General features: G+C 33.8%; 1 protein-coding gene across 1 annotated transcript in view; it reads right to left on the bottom strand.

Moving 5' to 3' along the window:
- ZNF804B (zinc finger protein 804B) overlaps window positions 1-21,048 on the bottom strand; it is a 578,829-nt gene that overhangs the window by 395,719 nt on the left and 162,062 nt on the right. The window lies entirely within an intron of this gene.

The raw sequence follows: 21,048 nt of genomic DNA, 5'->3' as shown, positions 1-21,048 counted from the left end.
GGAGAATGGAAATGTTTAAGAAATAAATGCCAAGAAGAACCAACACACATAATATATAAGGTCCCAAGACTAGAAAAGACTTTATATTTTCATTTGATGGTAACACGTGGTCTAACCTAAATACCATTGGTTTTTTTTAAGTGTAATACATCACTGTTTATTCATGCATTCATTCAAGATGATCAATCAAGCACCTAGAATATGCCAGGCTTTTTTTTTTCAAGCTTAAAAGATATATCAGTGAACAGAACAAAGACCTTACGATAATTCAATGCAAAACACACACACACACACACACACACACACACTCACTCAAATATCTTTTATACCAAAACATAATCTCCCTTCACTCTATTCCACTCTACTTCAATCTCTATTTCATTCACTCTCCTCATTTATACATATAAAGTCAACTCATAAAATTAAAAGGAAACTTAAATGTTCTTATACATATTATGAAAACTATAATAGCACTATTTGTTAATTTTTGTCACAATTTACTAAGCACCAATTGTATGACAGAATGTTGCCTGCGATGGCACAATGAAAAAGATGAATGTAGTCTAATGAGGAGGTAGAAGCACATAGATCCTTTCAAAATCTTGATGAATTTGGGGATTTTTTTATACAAGACCATAGAGAGTCTAGGATATGAGATAAGACTATATTAATACAGATAACTATGAGTAGATACATATTTCATGGGAGTTTGTAGATTTTCTTAGGATTATTTTAATTTTCTTGGCAAAGTGGGAAACTGAATTTCTGTTTCAGAGAAAACGGAAGAGCTTCCTTCATCTAGGCACAACTAAAAACCTTAGATATTGTCTATAAAATAAACATAAGGAAACTCTAAGGGACTTCAGGGCCCAAGGAATGACATGAGGATAAGTTACCTTGGATTTCCTTTTGCCTTATATATACTTAAATTTAAGTTGACAACCCAGAAATGTCAATGGGCACAACCACAAAAAGCCACATCAAAGATCTTGGTCCTCTCTAGCCAAAGGACCAAGAACAACCTTCATCCACACAACATTATCTTCTAAAGTCCACAATTTATATTAGGGTTCATTCCTGGTATTGTATATTTTGTGGATTTTGACGAATGTATAATGACATGTACCTACCATTATATATTATACAAAATAGATCCACTGTCTTAAAAATCATCTGTGCTCTGTCTGTTCATCTCTTTCTCCTCCTAATCCCTAACAACCACTGATCTTTTTTACTGTCTCCATAATTTTTCCTTTTCCAGAAGGTCATATAGTTGGAATTATACAACATGTTGTCTTTTCAAATTGGCTTCTTTTATTTAGTAATATACAGTTAAATTTCCACCACGTCTTTTTATTGCTTGATAGTTCATTTTCTTTTAGCACTGAATAATATTCCCTTATCTAAATGCATTACAGTTTATTTATCCACTCAACGAAGGACATCTTGGTTACTTCCAAGTTTTAGCAATTATGAATAAAGCTGCTATAAATATCTGTGTGCAGGATTTTGTGCAGACATATGTTTTCATCTCCTCTGGGTAAATACCAAGGAGTCCAACTGATAGACTGTATGGTAAGAGCACACTTAGTTTTATAAGAAACTGCCAAATTGTTTCCTAAAGTCATTGTACCATTTTGGAGTCCCACTAGCAAAGAATGAGAGATTCTATTGCTCCACATTTTTGGCCACTTTTTATGTTGTCAGTAATTTACATTTTTGCTATAATAATATTAAATAGCTGTTAGTTATTTTAATTTGCAATTCCCTAATAACATGATGTTAAGCATCTTTTCATATGCTTATTTGCCCTCTGAATATCTTATTTGGTGAGATGTCTGTTCATTTTTTTAAACCCAATTTTTAATCAGGTTATTTTCTTATTGTTGAATTTTAAGACTTCATCACATTATTTTAGATAACAGTTCTTTATCAGATTGTCTTTTGTAAATATTTTCTCCCAGTATGTAGGTTTTCTTCTCATTGTCTTGAGATACATTCTATTATTATTATTATTATTATTATTATTATTATTATTATTTTAAATAGGGTCCCACTTTGTTGCCCAGGCTGGCATGCAGTTGCATGATCATGGCTCACTGCAGCTCTACCTCCCTAGCTCAAGCAATCCTCTCACCTTACCCTCCAGAGTAGCTGGGACCACAAGTGCACACCACCATGCCCAGCTAATCTTTTAAGTTTTGTAGAGACACTGTCTTGCTATGTTGTCCAGGCTGATCTCAAGCTCCTGGACTCAAGCAATCCTCCTGCCTCGTCCTCAAACTGTTAGGGTTATAGGCGTGAGCCACCACACCTGGCCATTCTATTTTTAATCATTTGTTTCTATTAATTTCTGCTTTTAGCTTATGTATGTATTATTTATTAAGGTTAACTTTGGCCTTTTGAATTTCTTTAGTTGAATACTTATCTAATTTTTATTCTTACTCCTTTATAAAAATCTCATTTAAGACCATATAATTTTTTTCCATAAAATTAGCTTGTCTTCCTTAAGTTTTGGTTTTATTATTTTGAAGATTTAAACATTTAATAATTGCCATTATACTTTTTTATTTGATTCTTGGATTACTTGGAAGTATGTTTCTCAGTGTTTGAATGTATCTGATTGCTCTCCTCATAATTTTTTTCTAATTTTATTACATTTAGATCTGAGTATATTTAGTTCATCCTTTGGTATTTATGAATAAGTACATAATTAATTTGTGAGAACACTTAAAAAGAATAAAGAGTTCTTTCAAATACATGAATTAATTTAAGATTTTTTAATTGTGTTTTTAATTTTCCATATTATTACTTTTGTCTGTTTGATAAGATAGTTTCTGAAAGAAGTACAATAGTATCTTCCCCTCTGACTGTAGACTTATCAATCTAAACTTATAATTCTTGTACATCTTTATCATGTATTTTGGGATTATAATGCAAAATACATTCAGGAGTGGTGTATGTTCCTGATGAAATGTGCTGTCTATTATTTCATACTGACCCACTTTAGCAATGTCTTTTGCTTTCAAGCTTTTTTTTTTTATTAGATCACTACAGCTTTAACAACTTTATTTGGATTATCGTTTTCCTATTATATCTTTTTCAATCTTTTTATTTTTATCTTTTCTGCATCATGTTTTAAATAGTGTATTTGTGGATTTATTATTTCTAATCTAGTGCACGACTGTGGCTTTTAATGGGAGAATTTGTTTATATTCATTGTAATTCATTGGAATGACATGATAGATTCATTTCCAACACAATGGTTGGTGGCTTTTATTTATTATTACTTTTTAATTGGTTTCTTTATTCCTCTTTTGACAAGTAAGCTTGATTTAACAAACTAAACTAAAAATAAAAACAATATTTTCATACAGTTGGCCCTCCATATTTGTGGATTCTGTCTGTGGATTCAACCAAACACAGATTAAAAATATTAAAAATAAATATTAACATTACAACAACAAAAATACAGTGTAAAAAGCCATAGAGCACAATAACTATTTATATAATATTTATATTTGATTGGGTATTATATGTAATCTAGAGTTGATTTAAAATGTAAAGGAGGATGCACACAGGTCATATGCAAATACAGTGCATTTGATATACAGAATTTGAACATCTATAAATTTTGGTATCCCAGGGGGGTTCCTGAAAACAATCCCCAATGGATACCAAGGAACAACTGTACATTTCTTAGACAACAGAAAATAGAACACTTTTATTTTCAATCTTCCTCATTCTATCTTTCTACTTTACTATTGTCTACTATTTAATTCCTCTTGTTTTAGACACTCAAAACTAGTCAGTATATTTAACAGTAATATTGAACTTAGTGACAAGAATTCCTTAGGTTAATCAAAATTTTTGTCTATTTTTTTCTAGAAACAAACTTGTTCCTTAAGGTTTAATTAACTTCTTTCTGAAATAATTCCGGTGGTTTTTCTGTCAGTGAGGATTTTTGAATGATAGATTCTTAAGTCTTGTTTTTTCCTTTCTTGGGCTTGCTATATATTCACTTCAGTTTTATTCTTGTTAATTTGCTGGGTATTGTTCTGAGTTGGTTATTTTATCTCAGTACTTTCTACTTTTCCTCCTGTTTTGCTGATGAGACTTCCACTTTTGCTCTAACCATCATTCATTTTTTAGAAAGCCAGTATATACCTGAGGACTAAACTGATTTTTTAATCTTGCCCAAATTCCTATCTAAAGAGACTGGGGAGTCATGCCCTACAAATCATACATTCTCATCAGATGGCTTTTATTTAACCCTATATATCATGATTTTCCAACCTGACTCTGGTATAACATTACCAGACAAGGAAGAAAATAAAAATATTTTACCCCAAAACATGTTTATTTGCCGTATTTTGAAATAGCCCCGCAAAGTTGTTCTTTGTGGGGAAGAACATGCATCTATAAAAGAAGCTCTATTAACATAGCTAGATCTTTTTCTTCCAGACCCTCCCAATCCTAAAGAGATTAACTAAGATCTGAATAGGAAACACTTGTCATCTATTTTCTCTAAGGGCAGCCATTATAAGACTTCAAAAGAACTTTGGTCTGCACAATCTTTTATCTTAACCTGAACATTCCCTTTCTATCAATCCTAGATCTTTAGACAAACTCAACCAATTGTCAACCAGAAAATGTTTAAATTCACCTATAGCCTGGAAACCTCCCCCTCCCCACTTCCAACCCTGCTTTGAGTTGGCCCACCTTTCTGGACCAAACCAATATATTTCTTAAGTGTATTTGACTGATGTCTCATGCTCTCTAAAATGTATAAAACCAATCTGCGCCCCTACCACCTTGGGCACATGTTCCCAGGACCTCCTGAGGGCTGTCACAGCCCACGGTCACCCATATTTGGCTCAGAATAAATCTCTTCCAATATTTTACACAGTTCAATTCTTTTTGTCTACATACCTCTCTCAATCTCTCTCTCTCAAAGATGTAAAGTTTTTTCTTTGTTTTAACATGCTGCAGTTAAACTTGGGTAGGGCTTTGGACTATCCTATTTGGGACTCACTGTGACCCTTCAATATGAAAGGTGCACACATATTGATTTTTCTTTTCTGAAAACATTGTTTGCCACTATGTCATTGACTTTTGCTTCTAATTCATTTTTTTTCTTTTGGATATCTTACAAGAAATTAGATTATTTATTTATGAAACTTGCTTTTGCCTAGAGCTCAAATAGCATCAGTTACCCCGACTCTATTTTTATATCATTTCTCATCCTGTAGATTACTGTGTTCTATGGTTAACATAACTTCAAAACTTTCATTCATTTATAGGGAAGCTGGGGTTTTGATGCTTGTCAGTGATTCTCCCTCACACTGACTCAAATCCCTAGATTAAATAGCTTCCCTAATATTTTGCAGGTCGATGGATAGATTTTTCCTATTCAGAGCAAAGAATAAGCTTAGGCTCTTTATTTGATGTAGAGGCCTAAATTCTAGTCCATTGTTTGAGATGAAGTATTTCTTTATCTATAAATGGGCATTAGGGACTGCAGCCTACAGTCCTGTTGCCGGTATCTAATGCCAGAATGCCAGCGGACTATCAGAGATTTGGCCTTCCCCTGTCATTTTCTTTTTCATTATTTGTTTTTCACCCCTGGGAAATCTTTCTTTCTGTCAAATTCAGTTATGTGGAGAGCAATAATACTTTTTTTTTTTTTTTTTTGCTATTCTCATAGTTTTTTCAAAGCATTTATGTGTTTGGGGCAGAAAGCAGGCCTATTTCCAACAGCCTAATCTGCTATTTTGCTAGAATTATCCAATATATCTTTATATCCATGTCTTTAAATACATTGTTCTCATTATATCTATTTTATTTATTAATACTTTGTGGCTATATTTTTCAGTCTAGCTTAAATGTAATTGTTGAAGCTCAAGAGAGCAACGCTCCACAGTATGGTGCTTCGGCATGCTGAGCACTTTTGAACTCAAGGAAATTAAAAGACCTTAGAAACAGCCTCAGCACCAAGGACTTTTTGACCTTCTCCTGTTTCTTCCCACCAAGCATAAGGTAGAACTCTATTTATGAAGTTCCCTTATCTGAAGCTCTTCCTGAAGGAACGCAATTTCCTTCTATTCCCTCCCTGAAATTTCATTATCTAACACAAGAAGGAAGATTGAAGAATGTAACCAACACCTAGACACACTTTGTCACAAGACATTGTCTCTTTCAGTGTCACTCATATTCCAAAGAGAATCATTTACAAGCTAATTTCTGTCTCCTGGGCCCATTGATTTCTCCTAAAGGTCATTTACTACCCCTCTCAATTGCCTACATCCCCCATTTCCCTCTTCGCTATGAAGAGGTTATTTAAGCTTCAGCTATCTGGCCCTTCAAGTCTTAGATTTGCAGGACTCCCATGTTTATATGCATCTTAATAAATTGCTATGCCTTTTGCTTTGATCATCTGTCTATTGTCAGTTTAATTTGGCAGGGTGACTCTGTTATTGAAACCTCAGAGGGAAAGTTCCTCTACATAAACTTCCCTACATAATAAAGATATCTTTAAATTAGGAATCACTAGCTATTTCCAAGTTTTTATTCTGACATTAAAATGATAGTGTAATGCTGGGAACATCATTGCTTTTAACTTTTTTATTCTTAAAGTGCTTTCCAAGGACATTTCAGCAATAGTATTCTAGGACCACAGGCATATGTTATTTTTTTTAAAAAAAAAAAGGAAGAAAGATGAAGGAAGGAAGGAGAGAGAAGGGGAAAGGAAAGGAAGGAAGAAAGAGAGGGAAGAGGGAGGGTGGGCAGGAGGAAGAAAAAAAGAAATGGAGGAAGGGAGGGAGAAAGAGAGAAAAAGAAAAATCGGAAAACAGAAAGATGAAAGAATGAAGAGAAGGAAAGAGAAAAGAAGGAAAGGAAGAGAAAAGAAAAAAGAAAGAAAAGGAAACAAGAAAAGAAGCAGAGAAAAGAAGAGATTCTAAGGAGGTTCAGTCCTGTAACTGTCATTAGTAGTTGAACAGACTTCCAAATAGGATAAAAAAATTTTTTTAGTAATTTTCCTGAAAACTTATGGCACCTACTAAGCAAATGAGGAATTAGAATAAATACATATATTTAATTTTCTCCTTGATAGGATTTTAGAGAGACTACTCAAAATATGGCATCTTGGACATTGAGTATTTTTAGCTGAAGGAATTTGAGAAACAGCATGTGCAGGAAAGACTTTCTGACCCTAATGTGGAAGGTGCCCACCCTACACTTGAAAGTAAGGAGCATTCTTTTTATTAAAAAAAAATTAATAAAAAATAAATAGAGTGAGGTCTCACCATGTTGCCCATGCTGGTCTCAAATTCCTACCCTCAAGTGATCCTCTCACCTCAGCCTCCCAAAGTGCTAAGATTGCAGCTGTGAGCCACTATGGCTGGCCAGAAAAGGTGTATTCTTTTTTTTTTTTTTTTTAATTACTTTTACTTCAATAGTTTTTTGAGTAGAGGTAGTTTTTGGTTACATGAGTAAGTTCTTTAGTGGTGATTTCTGAGATTCTGGTGCACCTGTCACCTGAGCTATATACATTGTATCATTCTTATGCCTTCACATCCTCATAGCTTAGCTCTCACTTATAAGTGAGAACATATGATATTTGGTTTTCCATTTCTGAATTACTCCACCTAGAATAATGGCCTCCAATCCATCCAAGTTGCTGCAAAAGACATTCTTTTGTTCCTTTTTATGGCTGAATAGTATTCCATGGTATGTGTATGTGTGTATGTGTGTGTGTATATATATATACACACACACACATATATCTATATATATAACCTTTTCTTTACCCACTCTGTTTGATGGGTACTTAGCTTGGTTCCATGTCTTTGCAATTATGAATTGTGCTGCTATAAACATGCATGTGCATGTGTCTTTTTGTATAACAATATATTTTCCTCTGGGTAGATACCCAGTAGTGGGATCGCTGGATTGAATGGTAGTTCTACGTTTAGTCTTTAAGGAATTGTCACAGTGTTTTTCATAGTTTACATTCCCACCAGGAATGTAAAGGTGTTCACTTTTCAACACATCGACACCAACATCTATCGGTTTTTTACTTTTTAATTGTTACCACTTTTGCAGGAGTAAGGTGGTATCTCATTGTGGTTTTAATTTGCACCTCCCTAATAATTGGTAATGTTTAGCATGTTTTTTCTTATGTTTGTTGGTTGTTTATCCTTTCTTGAGAATTGTCTATTCATATCATTTGCCTTCTGTTTGATGGGATTATTTTTTTCTTGCCGATTTGAGTTCCTTGTAGATTCTGGATATTATTCCTTTGTTGGACTCACAGTTTGTGAATGTTTTCTCCCATTCTGTGGGTTGTCTGTTTACCCTGCTGATTATTTCTTTTGCTGTGCAGAAAGTTTTTCATTTTATTAAGTACCATTTATTCATTTTTGTTTTTGTTGCATTTGCTTTTGGAGTCTTAGGAATGAATCCTTTGCCTAAGTCCATGTGTAGAAGAGTTTCTCTGAAATTATCTTCTAGAATTTTTGACTTCAGGTCTTTGATCCATATTGAGCTGATTTTTGTAAAAAGTGAGAGATGAGGAACCATTTATATTTATCTACATGTGGCTTGTCAGTTTTCCAGCCCCATTTATTGAATAGATTATCCTTTCCCCAATTTATGTTTTTGTATGCTTTGTTGAAGATCAGTTGGCTCTATTTGGCTTTATTTTTGGGTTCTCTATTCTGTCCTATTGGTCTACATGTCTATTTTTATACCAGTACCATGTCGTTTTGGTAACTATAGCCATGTAGTATAGTTTGAAGTTGGGTAATGTGATGCCTCCAAATTTGTTCTTTCTCCTTAGTATTGCTTTGGCTATGTGGGCTTTTTTTTTTTTTTTGGTTTAATACAAATTTTACGATTGTTTTTCCAGTTCTGTGAAGAATGATGATGGTATTTTGATGGGAATTGCATTTTATTTGTAGGTTGATTTTGGCAGTATGGTCATTTTCACAATATTGATTCTACTCATCCATGAGAATGGGATGTGTTTTTGTTTGTTTGTGTCATCTATGATTTCTTTCAGCAGTGGTTTGTAGTTTTCATCGTAAAGATCTTTCAACTCCTTGTTTGTTTTTTGCAGCTGTTGCAAAATGGATTGAGTTCATGATTTGATACTCAGCTTGGTCACTGTTGGTGTAAAGCAGTGCTACTGATTCACGTACGTTGATTTTGTATCTTGAGACTTTACTGAATTTATCAGATATAGGAGCTTTTTGAACGAAACTTTAGAGTTTTCTAGGTATACAATCATATCATTGGTGATTAGCGACAGTTTCATTTCCTCTTTTCAAATTTGGATGCCCTTTGTTTCTTTCTCTTGTTTGATTGCGCTGCCTATGACTTCCAGTACTAGGTTCAATAGAAGTGGTTAAAGTGTGCATCCTTGTCTTGTTCCAGTTCTCAGGGGAAATGCTTTCAACTTTTCCTGATTCAATATGATGTTGGTTTGTCATATATGTCTTTTATTACTTTGAGATAAGTTTCTACTATGTCTATTTGGTTGAGGTTTTTTATTATAAAGGGATATTAAATTTTATCAAATGCTTTTTCTGCATCTATTGAGATAATCATGTGGTTTTTGTTTTTAATTCTCTTTATGTGACATATCACATTTATTGTCATGTATATATTAAGCCATCCCTGCATCCCTGGTATAAAACCCACTTGATCATGGTGTATTATATTTTTGATATTCTGTTGGATTTGGTTAGCTAATATTTTGTTGGGAATTTTTGCATCTATGTCCATCAGGGATATTGGTCTGTAATTTTTGTTGTTGTTATGTGCTTTCATGGTTTTGGTATTAGGGTGATACTAGATTCATATAAAAATTTAGGGAGGATTCCCTCTTTATCTTTTGGAATCGTTTATCTTTTGGAATCATTTCAGTAGGAATGTTACCAATTCTTCTTTGAGAATTTGAAAAGAAGAATTCAAAGAATTCTTCTTGAATGTCTGATAGAATTCATCTGTGAATCCATCTAGTTCTGGACTTTTTGTGGGCATTTTTTATTATTATTACTGATTCAATCTCGCTGCTTGTTATTGGTCTGCTTAGTGTCTCTAGTTCTTCCTGATTTAATCTAGGAGCCTGTATATTTTCAGGAATTTACCCATCTCCTCTAGATTTTTTAGTTTGTGTGCATAAAGGTGTTCACAGTAGCCTTGAATGATCTTTGGAATTTCTATGGTGTTGGTTTTAAAATCTCCAGTTTCATTTTTAATTGAGCTCATTTGGATCATCTGTCTTCTTTTCTTGGTTAATCTCACTAATGGTCAATGAATTTTGTTTATCTTTTCAAAGAATCAGCTTTTTGTTTCATTTATCTTTTGTATTTTTTTTGTTTCAATTTCATTTATTTTTGCTCTGATCTTTGTGATTTCTTTTCTTATGCTGGGTTTGGATTTAGTTTGTTCTGTTTCTCTGGTTCCTTAAGGTGTGACATTAGGTTGTCTAAGCTGTACTCTTTCAGACTTTTTGATGTAGTCATTTAATGCTATGAACTAGGAAATGAGTATTCTTATGTACAATGGCAGAGGGATGCTGAGAGGGATCTGAATGCACAGACCTTGCCAAGTTTCCCTCAGCTTAATACTCTTAGCTCATACCCATTTTGTCTGTGACTTTCCACTCTTCATCAAGCCTAGCATAAAAGCACTCAAGTTTAATCATTTCTTCATTTCCTTATGAAGACTCCTGTGTCATATTAACCTACATTAGATGCATTTATATGCTTTTCTCTTGTTAATATGTCTTTTTTTTTTTACAGAGGCCTCTGCCAAGAACTTAGAAGGGCAGACAGAAAACACATTTTTCCTCTCCTATATACACTTTTGCTTCTGGGAAACACCAATAGTACTAGCATTAAATTACACAGTCTAATTTTGTATTTTTATTAACAAGTTTCAATTGATCAAGTGTGAACAAGTGTTTTGAAGTTTTTTAAAAAAAACATTGAATCACTTTTCTTATAATTTGCTCGTTAATTCAACAGACATTTATTGATCATTTACTAGATTCCAGGCAAGGTGATAGATTCAGAGAATACAATGATAAGCAAGATCTGACTGGACTCATTTTATGGAGCATACAATCAAAGGGAGAAGACAGATAATCAGATGATAACACAAGTAAATATAAAACTGAAGTCAGAGCCGTTAAGATGTTTATGCCAGATTACACTAAGGAGATATGTCCATTATCCCTTATCAGTTTTTCTTAATGAGGAAAATAAATATACATAGACAACTAATGTAGTATTTAAAGATTCATAAAACTTATTTCCATGATGGCAGATGCAGCCTTCCTTTGCATTCCACCTGTATCCTTATGTAAATAATGCTATAAGCAACTTTTGCATTTTAGTTAAACTGACCTTCATGAATTCAGAGAACAATAACAGCAATCCCAATTTTACAGACAGATGCATAAAACCTTTGCATTGAAACACTGAGCTTGCTTCAAATATAAATACCAATTATTTACTTATCTATCATGCATGAATTAACTATGGATTTGATTCTTTGGTATTTGTTCTTAAATTTAGATCACTTAGATTAAAATTAGAATTATTTTATGAATAGTTTTAAGCCTTATGGCAAAGAAGTATCTTTCTCAGGAAAGTTTATACTGTGTATGCAACTTTTGCAAGAACGTCAATGAAACTGACTCACTGAGGCAAAACATGCACATCAAAATCCCCTGAGCCAGTGACAAAGTAGACAGGTGTGCAGAAACTACTGAATTATAAATGTTATGGTTCAATTCTTAAGCTACTGACCAAAAAGAGAAGGCTAATATAATGGCTAACGATGGCTGGGCTATAATAGCTACTGATTACAGGAAGGACATTTCCTTGCAGGGGAAAAAATCATTTGATAGCTCTCTTTATTATTTTAGTACTTGCAGTATTATCATAGGTGTATCTATAAAATAAAGGAACGCCTGCATGATTCTGCATGTTGGTAAGAGGAAGATTTTATAATTCTTAATTTCTCTGACAAATTTGATGAATGCCATCAAAAGTTTTCCTTTCCCTGGTGAACGCTGTCTTGAAGAACCCATGAAACGTCAGCATTCTAGGCCATTAACTCTCCTTCTCTTTCTTATCAACTACCACAAAACACGATGTCTTAATTCACTCATGCATACACATCCAATAAGTCTCTTTAATGGTAATGAAAGTTCAATATATGAATCATAAACATAATTTAAGAGACATAATTTGAAGCAGTTTTTAAATATGGTCTGGGACATTTTTTGGAAACATAAGCCTAGAATTATATTCAGATATTTGTTCAACTAGAAAATATTGCTGATGCATATTTCTTGCCAACCTTCCCTCTGCTTTAAAGATGATGAAGTAGGTTGCCTTTTAAATTGTTGGAGGTTTAGCTGGCTGTTTGTGATGCCACAGAAACACTTTTCATTTCTCCTCAGTTAATGCAGATCACTGGCCAAATTTCAACATTGCTATTATCTTTAATTTTTGCAACTATATCCCAACACATAATCAAATAAATTTCTCTTTCTGCTGAGTTTTTAAAGGAGATTTAAAACCTGAGACATTTGTAACACAATATCAAAATAGAAACTAAAAAGCATATAGGTAATATTATAGGTGCCCATACCTATAATTCACCTCCTAGTGCATTCTGAAAACTAAACATTTGTTTAATGATCTCAACAAATTATCTAAAAAATAATTTAATATATAAATTTAAGACTATGTGGACACTCCACAATTACACTGAATAGAACCAAAACATACATTTTGGAACCACCTTTCTTTAAAAACAATCTAAATTTTTAAGATACATTTTTTTTGAAAGTTCGAGAAAAAATGCTTAGTCGTTAAAAACTTGAAATGGTTGTAAAGACATAAATATATTAACAAATAGTTTATGATATTTACAAATGAGTTGGATTTTTTATAAACTAAATCTCTGTGAAAAGACATCACAAAATTGTAATACCTTAAACGTATTTTTAAATCACCATTACACTAATGATAGTATTGCAATAGGATTTCTCAGATTATTTTTCAGAGATTTTTGTTGTTGTTGTTCAAAGACTAACAGTCTCTTGTCAGACAGAATCAGGAAATGTTTACAGCAAACCAATACTATCACTAGAGGAGACTGAAAATTTTAAGAACATACAGAGAAAGTGACAGATTCCTTGAGGAAGTCTGGGATATCAAGTGTCTTTATACAAACTGTACAAGACGTGACATGGGGCTGACAAGAAATAAAAGGTTTAATAATCCATGGCATTATTGGAAATCAGAGGTGATAACTGTATAAAGACTTGCTGATAATCAATACTTACCTTTTAACTCAAAACTCTATTAATTAACAAATTGTACTGGTAAGTGTGTAAGTTTCAGGCATTTCTTAACCCATGAGCTAATTTTTTTTTTTTCAGAACCTTAGGGATATAGTAGAAAAGTAAGATTCACTAAGATTTTTTGACTGGACTCTCTGTTGCCTCTTACCCCAATTCAATACATGAGCACACTCACACCCATCCCCAGTCTCTCTCCCCGTTTTTAATACTAATTAGGAGGCTTGGGAGTTAAATTTCTATTGATGGCCACAGGAGATCTTCCAGCAAGAGATCTGTATATGATAAAGAGAGCTTATCTAGGAGCTCCATACTGTATTCAAGTTACTGTATTTCCTGAGACTAGAAATCAGGAAATATTCTGAGGATTGGTAATATTAGAACTTGAACCAAAAGACAAACTTGCATCACTAAATTTTATTTTTCCTTTGGTTATATTCTTTATTTATTGAGCCACAATGACAAGGGCTCAATTGAATATACTGTCCAAAATAAGTGTCATATATGAGCCAACTAAAAAGAATTAGCTAGAAGATTTTGTAATGATTAGTCAATAATAATAACTAGGAAAAAAATAATGGCAGTGATAACCTCAGAGCTGTAACCAAAAAGCAAGATACTTAACTGTTACAAGCAGTGTTTTCTTATTCATAATTGCACATTACAGAACACTTTTCTTCTAAAGATTTCAGAGTGATTTATGATTTAAGAATAATGCCAGGCATCATGCCAATTTTAATTTGAAGGGCAGAGGGAAGAGAGAAAGAATACTTCAGAAATTACCTTGTTCTCTAAAGGCATTTCTGTCACTTTTGCTTCTTTTTAAGGGAAACACCCCTGGATCTCTTCAGAAATCAAAACACAGACTAAAAATAGAACATTCTAAAAATGTGTGCCAGATGTATCATATCTAGGGCTTTTCTCACCCCAGGGTATTTGCCAACTCCCACTTGACACTTCCCAAATATTTTTAGCACTTCAAAGTCTCTTACTTATTGCTTGCACAGCTGGTAGCTAAAAATACTTAAAACTGTATAATGCTACTTTGTAAGTCAGAGTTTGTTCTTCCAAGTGTCATTTATTCAGAATAAGTTTTCCTAATTAGAGCTCAGGTGGAAGCAAGAGAAACACACAGGGTCAAGGATACAAGCAGTTCTCTATACATGGCTCAGAGTGGAAAAGGGGAGGATAAGAGGTCCTGCTCTAAAGAGAAATAAAGTCAGGAGTAGATTATTTTAGGACAGACAACTGATTCTGTAAATCTAAAGGACCGTACCAAAGGCTAACAGTATTCTACAAGAAAGAAGAGGTTGATTTGACCAGCTTCTGGAAGACTGGTCAACAAAATGTTAAGGAGGCTGTCTGTAGCAGCCAGAGTAGACCAAGAAACTTAGAGATATACAAATGGGCAATGACTCATGCTGATGAGGTTTGGTAGGAGATATTGGGGATAGACTCATGGATAAACTGGGGTTCAGGGACAGAAAATGCAGGCTCCTAGAAGGCTGGTCCACATATTAATTCAGTTATAAGAAGAATTAAACATGCATGGCTAAAAAAAACCCATAAGTGCATGTTAATTTAAGGACAAGGTAGGAATACAGTTTATATAATGGTAGGTGAGAAGATAATGAGGATATAACTGTGAAATCATTAAGGGTACAAAAGTTAGAGAAATAAGGGTGGCTGAAAGAGAAGTGTTGATCACTTGGGGAAGGGGCTAGAAACCAATTATTGGAAACTGTAACACCTAGATCAAAGAGAGAACAAGACAGAGAGAGAGAGAGAGCAAGAGAGAAAGAAATATTCTGCAGAATCAATGTCAATGAACTTGAGTCCTATGACAATACTTGTCTTAAGGACAGGGATAAGGCAATTTTCAGGCTGCTTATAAGATGAGTAACGTATAGGGTCTAGGATCCAAGCAGTTCTCTATGCATGCTCAAATTACAACTCAGACTGAGCATGGTGTCTCAGGCCTTCAATAAGTGATGTTTCTCTTCATGTGTTTGAACGTATTAGATAAAAATGCCTCTCAGATCAAACCACAATATTGTTTGCTATTTCAAGTGTCAGTAGTTTGTGCTTTTACTAGAATGAGACTGTTTTTTTCAGAAATGTATCTGATTATCTGAAGCACTTTTGAAAAACATCTTCATTTATATGTCTAATTTAATCAGAGTAGTTAACAGTATTTTATTCTAAAACGCCACTCTTCCAATGCTTTCAATAGGGCCACTTTGAAAGTCTCCTCTGTGACTTACCATATACAGCTTATAGATGCTAAAAAACATGTCTGTTAATTTTGGCACTGCTTTCATAATCAAGGCACACTTGGGAATACAGGAACATTTCCAACAACACCATGAAGGGCACTTCTTTTCACTAAGTCCCCAAAATGTATGCGCTGCCACTCACTTTTTAATTCTTTTGAGGAGCCCTGCACTTGTACAACAAACTACAGAACAGCTTTCCCCCCGCTCCCCACCACCCGGCAGACATCTAAGTGTGGTCTATAATTTATTTTAAAATGAGAAAAAAAAATTTAGCAAAAAATAAAAAGTCTACACAATTGCTAGTTGCTGTTATCTTACATTGGCTGTAAGGGTAATTCGGAAGCTGGACTTAGGAAAATCACCTAGCAGCTGGCATCATGTATGTTTCAATGTTGGGTATGGGGAAAGATGGATTAGGAAACACTAGCTAAGAAAATTGGGATATGATTTTACTCCCCTCCCACTTCCATATGGGGCTTTGCATATCAGGTAGACAGTTCCTTTTAATTAATTAATTTATGTATTTACTTACTTATTTTGAGATGGAGTCTCACTCTGTCACCCAGGCTGGAGTGCTATGGCGTGATCTCGGCTCAGTGTAACCTCCTCCGCCTCCCGGGTTCAAGTAATTCTCCCACCTCAGCCCACCTCAGCCTCCTGAGTAACTGGGACTACAGGCATGCACCACTACGCCCGGCTATTTTTTTTTTTTTTGTATTTTTAATAGACATGGGGTTTCGCCATGTTGACCAGGCTGCTCTTGAACTCCTGACCTCAAGTGATCCGCCTGCCTCAGCCTCCCAAAGTGCTAGGATTACAGGCATGAGCCACCACACCCGGCCTCCTTTGATTTTAAATAAAAGAACAGAACAGAATTAAACATGTCTGCCTAGGATTTCCCAGATCTTCGTGACTAAAATCACAGATGAATTCTACCTTTTTCCGTAAGATGTGCCTGCATTAAAAGGTTTATCAGATGCTTCAGCTTAACATCCAGAATGCAGTAATGAATTCTAAATTGTCACATATTTCCATAGTCACAGTATTTCCAATCTGCTGCCTTCCTTGATGACTTGGTCTAGAACAAGATTTCTGTTTTACATTTTTGACCTAGAAAATCCATTTCTTTCTAGTACCTGACTCCAGTCTATGGGCAGGTCTCCCAACATCCTGGCTAGATTTTCTTCCCCAAGCCTTCTACTTTATTCTCCTGCATAGGAAGCATGTCACAATTCTGAAGATCACCTAGCATCATAACTTTGTCACTGTCTCTAATTTTAGACTTTCCTACTTTCAGAGCTTCCTCTTCTGCCATGCTCTCCTTTGCCTGCTAGATCAGAATCTTTGCCATTGACACTGGACTGTTTTTAGCTAACCTGCACCATCCTTTCTACTCTCCGTGTTTAATGGCACACCTGCTCCTACAAAGCCGGCTGCTGCAGCTAGATAGAATTCCTCAGCTTCTTGGAGAAGGGCATCAGCAATGACTTTTTTCTCTTTTCTATTATCATCGACTTTTTAATATCCTAGTATTCTTCATATTCAAGCTGTCAACAGGTTTATCTTCTCCCAAGGCCTCTCTCCATGGCTTGCAGATGACCACTTTCTCTGTGTCCTCATGTGGTCTTTCCACCGCACACATGCATCTTTAGTGTCCCTTTCTGTAAACCCAAATTTTCTATTTTTATAAGTACACTAATCAGGTTAAATTAGAACCCACCCTAATGGCCTCATGTTAATGTAGTCGCCTATTTAGAGATCTTATCTTCAAAATGGTTACTTTTTGAAGTACTGGGGTTAGGTCTTTGACATATGAATTTGGGGGAACAAGATTCTGCCTACAACAGGTAGGAAGCAGCAGTCGCCTCGGCAGTGGCACAGGGCCTGAGATTGGAGTGTGTAAGTGTTAAGAGTAAGAGATGTGTAAATGGTGATGGCCTCAGAGGACAGTGAGTGGGGTAATTATGCTCAGCTCTAAGATCTAATTATTGCTAAAAACTTTACAATGTGAGACTAAGGACTAGTAAATAATGAAGAGTCCACTGATAGGTATTTGAGAATACTGAGTAGTGCCTATATTACTACAAACAAAGATTTGGAAAGGGAAATGCCCTAACTAAAAGTACAGACATAATGCAGTCCTAGGCCAGAAGTTTTAATACAAGTTATTTGAGAGATTTCAGTGATTTTTAGATTTTTAAAAATTGGGATATCATCAATAAAAACAAAAAACAAATTATTTATTCATCAAATCTAAATATGTATTTACTGTGTACTAGGCAGTGTTTTAAATGTTGGGTGTGCGGGGGCACAAAGTAAACAAAATAGACACTCCTGTTGTCATGGAGATTGTATAACATAAGTGATAGCACACAGGAGATACATAATACACAGTAATGAGAAATACTACTTCTATGAGTAAAAATAACACCAAATGAGGAGAGAGAGTTACAACAGTGTTATTTTAGTCTTGAATGAAATGAGTGAGCCATGTAAATTTCTTGTGGAAGAGCTTTCCCAGGTTGAGGACTTAATACAAAGGCTTGTCTTGTTTGACAGTTAAGTCAGGAAATCAGAGTAGCTGGAAGTAAATGCAGGGGGTATAGAGGTAAAGGTATGATGTAGGAGAGGTAGCTAGTCCCCTACCACAAAGGCTTATAGGGAAAAATATTTGTCACACACTTGAGATACATGATTAATGTCTCATAAAAGAACATCTATACATTGATAAGAAAAGTATAAACTAAAGTATAAGAACAGGAAAATCAGACACAGGGAAACCTAATATGTCAAAGAAAGCAAAAACACATGCTCAAGGTATCATGCAGACAAAGAATTGCAAATATAAATAATAATTAGATATGATAGATTTTTTAACCAATCAGATTAGTCAAAAAGAAAAATGAAAATAAAATAAAATCATTAACAGCATTTAGAATGGCAAGAACATACATAAATTGTAAATCTCACATATGACTGGTGGGGATGTAAATTACTACAGCCATTTATGAAGGTAATACAGTAATATTTTTAAAAAACACATACATCCTCTGACCCAGAAACTCCATTCTCGGAACTCTATCCTGGAGAAAAAGGTGTGCCAGTTGGAAATGTGTTTATTGAAGCATATTTATAGCAGCAAAGCCAAAACAAATCTAAAAACAACACAAATTGGTATCACTAGAATGATCACACAAATTATATTACATTCAATTTATGAAATGCTATGTGGCTGCTTAAAATAATATTTTAATTATTTCTATTGACCTGTAGGGATATCATGGTACCTTAAAAACAGAAAGCAAACTTATCTACTATGACCTTATTTTTGTAAAATAAACTTAAAGTCACTTCTATTTTATATATGTCTATACATATTTCTATGTTTATTAGCATAGAATAAGGTGTAATAAGATGTATATCAAGTTGATAATACCTATTACCTCAGGAAAAATGAGAAAGATGACAGAATTAATCATTATTACTTTTAACTAAAAGAAAAACACATTTGAGAGACATTTGCACTAAATCATATCATTTCAGAGATTTCAGAAGGCAAACATTGTCAACCATATTTTTGTCTCTACAGCATCATATAACTAGGGTGAACATTTCAATGAATGGTCCATTTTGAACAAGTTGAATCAGTTACTTTGTCTTTGATAAACACAGTCTTCATTATATAAAATTTTAATTGGATGACAAACATTATAGACTTATTTTCCATTTATGTAGAGAACAAAAAAATTAGAAGACAATTGTCCAGAAGTGACCTGAATTTAATTTTTAAGTGAAACTCATCAATAAGCAGATTTTAACAAGGAGAATGACTTAATGGCATCTTGGTCCACTGATGAGAAATCATTATCAGAGAGTTCTATGGCAGATACCCCCAAAGCAACGCTACAGAGGAGCTCTTATGTACAATTAAGTTCAGTAAGGAACACTCACTCTCTCTCATTTCCCTTTATGCTGTGAGTCAGCTCACGTCACACACAATGCCATACCAGAAAGCCTGCAACCATCTTATCTTTGCTTCCAGATGCCAGTAATGAAATTCTAATATTCTATACCTCATAATTAAATAAGAATATTAAATGAGGAGAGACTGGAAAAATATGGAATATATAGGGCTTCTCTATGAGTTATTTTGTCTTCAATAATTACTTAATTAGCAGAATTGGATGTAATTTAAAATTACAGTTTTATTTCCTTCATTGATACTCAAATATATTTTTCCAATTTTAGAGATGTAAGAGGAATAACTTGCATCTGTCTGATTTATTGAAAGGCTATATATTGAAATCATTATACTAAAAAAATGAAGTCATAATTGAAAAAAATGCCTAAATGCAGCATCTCATGTTGGCCTTTTTAATTAATTTCATAAATTACTATTATGAAAATCAAAATTACATAATAGATTGATTGCTGTCACTTTGGTAAATAGCACATTACACATTCCCTACAGACTATGTGATAAATTTTTCTGTGAGGCTAATTAGAAAAAGTGTGTGTGTATATATATATATATATGTATCTGTAATTAGCTTTTAGTTACAATTAAAATAAGTCCCATTTTGTATAAGGGTTGACAAGAATTAGCTTTAGTACATAAATATCCTTTAATACATAAATGTCTATACATATGAATTATAGAGACAACTTTCATTAAAGTAATTTTAAGAATGCAACAGTTTAGTAAAAATCTAATTCGTGAAAAGTAAAAATTCAAATGTAAACTTTAGTTCGATATGTGAGTTCTGGTGACCACAAAATAAATTTAAAGGGACAGAGGATGTCTTTTAGTTGAAATCTCATAAAAAGGCATATTTTTAAATTATTACATCAAATTCAGAAATATGACAGTTCCCAGCAAAACTGCTGATAACTTTTTCCAGTAGTAAAAGCTAATAGCGATAAAATGAGTAACAAATGCACATCTCATGCTTTACTTTGCATATTAACTTTAACAAAATATAGACAGTAACAGAATGGGACTAATAGGTTGAGAAAATTCTGAATCTGAAAATTCTGAACAGAATCAAATTCTGTTGATCCTGAAGTTGTGCCATAATCTTGAGTCATTTCTTTCTCCCTACCGACTGTTCCCACAAAGTGCCATCTAAGCATGTATTCTGAAATAAAGTTAGAAGAATCAATTTTAAATAAAATCTCTTTTCTTTTACAATATTTTACATTTTCAAACTTTAAATTCTTCTTTAGTGAGGCACAGCTAGTTATATATCAGTAGAAATTAACCCCAATCAATTTTTTAAATGTTGATACAATTAAAATAGAGATTTATCTTCAAATTAGATCCTGACATCTTGCTATACCATGTTTATTCCTAAACATATACATTTTTCCCTGGGAAAGAAAGAC

This window comes from Homo sapiens, chromosome 7 (genome assembly GCF_000001405.40).
Source record: "Homo sapiens chromosome 7, GRCh38.p14 Primary Assembly".
Classification (NCBI taxonomy): domain Eukaryota; kingdom Metazoa; phylum Chordata; class Mammalia; order Primates; family Hominidae; genus Homo; species Homo sapiens.
This window is presented reverse-complemented; position numbering and strand designations above follow the sequence as displayed.